The following is a 5,413-nucleotide window of genomic DNA, read 5'->3' on the forward strand; positions in this document are numbered from 1 at the left end:
TTGCTTTTTCTGTCTGTGTATGAAAAAAACTGTAAGATCCATGGGTTCAGAAACCACATATTTTGCTTGTTTTCTAAAGGGGAAGCAGAAACAAACACCTTCTCATTCACTACTGATGGATGCCATGAGACTTCCAAAACTCATGCCCAAATAGGAGATTACTCTTTTCGCCTAGGCAATGAAGTACAATCCTTACACTTATTCACTAAATCCGTGTTTACTGAGTGCATTTTAAGTGCCAGGTACTGGAGACACTTATACGCAAAAGAATCTGCCCTTGTGGGCCTCACGGCTGACTGTGGCACAAACAGGTCATCTGCAGCCTAGCCCAGAGCACAGATGGTAAGGAACATGGTCCCTCAGGTAAGAGAAGGTGAGAGTACTGAGCTGACAGAGGGGGAGAGCGCTGAGAGTCCAATGTCTTCAGTTGCAGGTGTTTTGTGAAACCAACAAGACTTCACACCTGTTGACACTTTATAGGGGATAGATACACAGCATTGCTTCAGAACGCTTCCTTCTAGAATTTGAGTTCAGCTGAGCTAGAGACACAGAATCTAGCCTGATGGAAATACCAGCTTGATTGCTGTGAAAAACCAGGATGAGCATGCAACCTAGATTTGTGGCAACTGGGAACACGATTTTTCCCCTGAAATAAACTCACTCCCCAGCAGCTGGCCTTGCCTGCAGACAGCATTATCCCAATTAAGCTCACGGCCTACCCGGAAGGAAACCGGGACCTGAGGCAAATCAGCCTCTAGCCCAGGTGAGAATTTTGAGAGAAACAGAGAAGGTAATTCAGAGTTCCCACACTCTGCTTCTGGAAACCCCTGATGCATAAAGTTATCTCTGCGTTCCTCTCTGGGACTCTGGGAGTCACAGAAGCAATGTCTGTCAACACACTGCCCTCTGGGAAGGCATCTGGGAAAAACTTCTGAGGGGCAATGTCACAGGAAATGCAAAAATGACTTGGGTTCAAATGCCGTTTCTGTCATTTATTCACTGTAAAACTCTAAATAATTTTACCGAATGTCATTTTCCTCTTCTGTAAAATGAAAATTTTTACCTCACAAGGTTTTCATTAAAAATGCATATGGTATATTATAGACCCTCAAAAAATGTTTCTAATATATTTATTTTAAATTTGACTTTTGGGTCTCTAACTTTTCTCCTAATTAAGTAAATAATTTCTTATCTAGTAACAAAAACATAAAAGCAATAATTTACTATAAAAGGGATACTTTATAGATCAGTTGACACTATATATAGATATATATATTCAAGCTTAGGAGAAAGAGTGAAAACACATTTCTTTTTGTTTAATTTCTCCTCAGCACCTGGCAAAATATCAGAATTTGGAAGTAGTAGGGATGAGGACAGTTGACAGAAAATACATTTAAAATTACAGAAGTGCACAGGCCTTATGTATGGATTTTTCCAAATTTCATCCTGTAATACTGAGTGAGTATGTTGGTGATCTCAGATACATCAACTCTGTGTAGCATGTGAGGGATGGATACCCCTTATAACACATAGTCATGCACTTGCAATGCCACATTGTCTTTCTCTGACATGGAACTCCAAGGGTAGGGTCATTCTAGGTGTGCCCACCCTCTTGTGTTAATTACTGTGATGAATTGTATTGACCTAAGAGGTGACGTTAGTTTAATTTTTCCTCCAATAGCAAAATGTAAAAGTATTCATTATTAAGAACAAGGAGCATTTTGTAAACAGAACTTAAAATGTATTTAAATATATTCAATGAGATACTTATAATACTATTTAAATAAGCAAATTCTAAATAAAAATGCCACTTTAAATTCAGGTAAATAAGGCAGCATGAAAAGAATAAGTAAAAGAAAGATTATTTCAAAGCCAGAAAAAAGATATTCCAGCAAAAAATAATATCAAATTGGCTTAAAGCCAGCTAGTCATATTGACTACTCTTTGCTAGAGTTTCCATTTGCTATACAGTAGTTCTGTTCTCCTTATTGTTAGTGTGATTTTTCCAGGGCATCAAAAATTTGTGATATGCAATAGAAAAGATGTGAAATCAACCCTGGTGCCCATCAGCAGTGGACTACATAAGGAAAACGTGGTACATATACACCGTGGAATACTAAGCAGTCATATAAAAAGAACAAAATCATATCCTTTGCAGCAACACAGATACAGCTGGAGGCCATTATCCAAAGTAAACTAATGCAGAGGCAGAAAATCAAATACCTTATGTTCTCCTGTAGACGTAGGAGCTGAACATTGGGTACACACGGACACAAACATGGAAACAATAGACAGTGGGGAATATTACAGTGGGAAGGTGAGAGGGTTGAAAAACCCTGCTGGGTTCTATGCTCACCCACTGGGTGACAGGTTCAATCATACTCCCAACCCCAGCATCACACAATCTACCTCTGTAACACACCTGTATATGGACCCCCTGAATCCAAAGTAATAGACAAAAAATAAAATAAAATAAAATTGGTGATCTGTTGGTTGAAAAATTAACAGCAAAAGATTTTATTTTGGCCGGGAGCAGTGGCTCACACCTGCAATCCCAGAACTTTGGGAGGTCAAAAGACAGGCAGATCACTTGAGCCAAGGCATTCAAGACCAACCTGGGCAACATGGCAAAACCTCCTCTCTACCAAAAAAAAAAAAAAAAAAAATTAGCCAGACGTGGTGGTGTGCGTCTGGAGTCCCAGCTACTCAGGAGGCTGAGATAGGAGGATCGTTTGAATCTGGAAGGTGGAGGTTGCAGTGAGCTGAGATTGGGCCACTGCACTCCAGCCTGGACAACAGAGTGAGACCTCTGTCTCAAAAAAACGCATTATTTTATTCAACAACCTCTACTGACCATCATATGACCTCATTTAACCAAAAATAAGTTAAACTCAAAAGCAGAAAACAGACATACAGATAGGGGACTATCCAGAGAGAAACAGAATCCTTGCATCACTTCCATTTTTTGAGGCTTTTTCTTTTTTCTTTTCTTTTTTTTTTTTTTTTGAGACGGAGTTTCCCTCTTGCTGCCCAGGCTAGAGTGCAATGGCGCGATCTCGGCTCACTGCAACCTCCGCCTCCTGGGTTCAAGCGATTCTCCTGTCTCAGCCTCCCCAGTAGCTGGGATAACAGGCACTTGCCACCACGCCCAGCTAATTTTTTTGTATTTTTAGTAGAGATGGGCCTTCTCCATGTTGGTCAGGCTAGTTTGGAACTTCCAGCCTCAGGTAATCTGCCTTCCTCGGCCTCCCGAAGTGCTGAGATTACAGGCATGAGCCACCTTGCCCAGCCTGAGGCTTCTGATATACTACAAATAAATAAACAAAATAATATTTTATTTTATTTTATTTATTTTATTTTATTTTTGAGGCAGAGTCTCGCTCTGTTGCCCAGGCTGGAGTGCAGTGGCGTGATCTCAGCTCACTGCAAGCTCCGCCTCCCGGGTTCACACCATTCTCCTGCCTCAGCCTCCCCAGTAGCTGGGACTACAGGCGCCCGCCACCCCCGGCTAATTTTTTGTATTTTTTTTTTAGTAGAGACGGGGTTTCACTGTGTTAGCCAGGATGGTCTCGGATCTCCTGACCTCGTGATCTGCCTGCCTCGGCCTCCCAAAGTGCTGGGATTACAGGCATGAGCCACTGCGCCCGGCCAAACAAAATAATTATAATTAGGAAACAAGATTATAAAAATTGTGGTATACTTTAAATATTTCCAATTAACAAATGAAGTGGTATGAAGGATTTTTTTTTTTAAATTCTGTCAGTGCATCTGTGTAGCTATTTATATAACCTAGTCAGAGATAACATCCAACAGCTGACTCTGAGGCTCTTTATAAATAGGCCCTGATGTGCACAGATAAGGCAAGAGCTCAGCCCTGGTCAGCAGCCACTTTTGGAAGCAAGACCTACAAGATTTCCACTGACTGGAGCACGTTTTATTTTTAACTTTTATTTTAGGTTTGGGGGTAGATGTGGAGGCTTGGTACATAGGTAAACTTGTGTCACGGGGTTTTTTGTACAGATTATTTCATCACCCAGGTGTTAAGCCCGGTACTCAGTAGTTATTTTTTCTGCTTCTCTCCCTTTTCCCACCCTTCACCCTCAAGTAGACCCCAGTGTCTATTGTTACCTTCTTTGGGTACATGAGTTGTCATCATTTAGCTCCCACTTATGAGTGAGAACATGTGGTATTTGGTATTTGGTTTTCTATTCCCGCATTTGCTAAAGATAATAGCCTCCAGATCCATCTATGTTTCCACAAAAGACATAATCTCATTCTTTTTCATGGCTGCATAGTATTCCATGATGTATATGTACCACATTTTTTTAATCCAGTCTATCATCCACAGCATTTAGGTTGCTTATGTATGTTTTTGCTATTGTGAATAGCACTGCAATGAACATTTCCGTGGCATGTGTCTTTATGATAGAATGATCTATATTCCTCTGGGTATATACTCAGTAATAGAATTGCTGGTTCAAATGGTAATTCTGTTTTTAGCTCTTTGAGGAATGGCCACACTGCTTTCCACAATGACTGAACTAATTTACACTCCCACCAACAGTGTATAAATGTTTCCTTTTCTCTGCAACCTTGCCAGCCTGTTATTTTTTCACTTTTTGATAATAGCCGTTTTGACTTGTGTGAGAAGGTATTTCATTGTGGTTTTGGATGGCATTTCTCTAATTATCAGTGATATTGAGGTTTTTTCATACGCTTGTTAGCTGCATGCATGTTTTCATTTGAAAAGTACCTGTTCATGTCCTTTACCCAGTTTTTAGTGTTGTTTTTTGTTTTCCTTTTGTGAATTTGTTTAAGTTCCTCATAGATGCTGGATATTAGACCTTTGTCAGTTGCATAATTTGCAAATATTTTCTGAGTGGAGTACTTTGGGTCTTTGTTTATATGGGTCAAAAGAAATGAAGAGACAAGATGAATATCTGGCTAATTCAGGTAACATTATTCTCCCCTAATGCTTCTTTTAAAGAAAAAGCAAGAGGCTTGAGCCTGAATTAGGAGAGATGGATGTGGAGAAATACAACTGTGCACTGGCCTACACAAACTGCTGTCACTCATCATACCTCATGTCTCTGCCTAGCTGCCTGGCTGCTATTGTGATGTGGAATCCCAAAGCCACACTGTGTCTCCCTACTCACAGATTGGACCCTCACCCACACATTTCTTCTCACTAGAGTTTAGGACACCAGAGAGCCAGGTGGCCAAGCAGGTGGCGTCACCAGGATCTCCAGCCTGTGGGGGAAGAGGGACAATTCTGGCTGTGGCCGACTGGATTTGAATAATGTCTGTAGGACATGTGGCCTTAGCTGCTTCATAGCTAAATTTCAGTTTCTAAACTATAAAATGAGGAAAACCATAATCCTAGCCACCTTACCAAGCTGAGATGATTAACCAT

Source organism: Homo sapiens, chromosome 8, assembly GCF_000001405.40.
Source record: "Homo sapiens chromosome 8, GRCh38.p14 Primary Assembly".
NCBI classification, from domain to species: domain Eukaryota; kingdom Metazoa; phylum Chordata; class Mammalia; order Primates; family Hominidae; genus Homo; species Homo sapiens.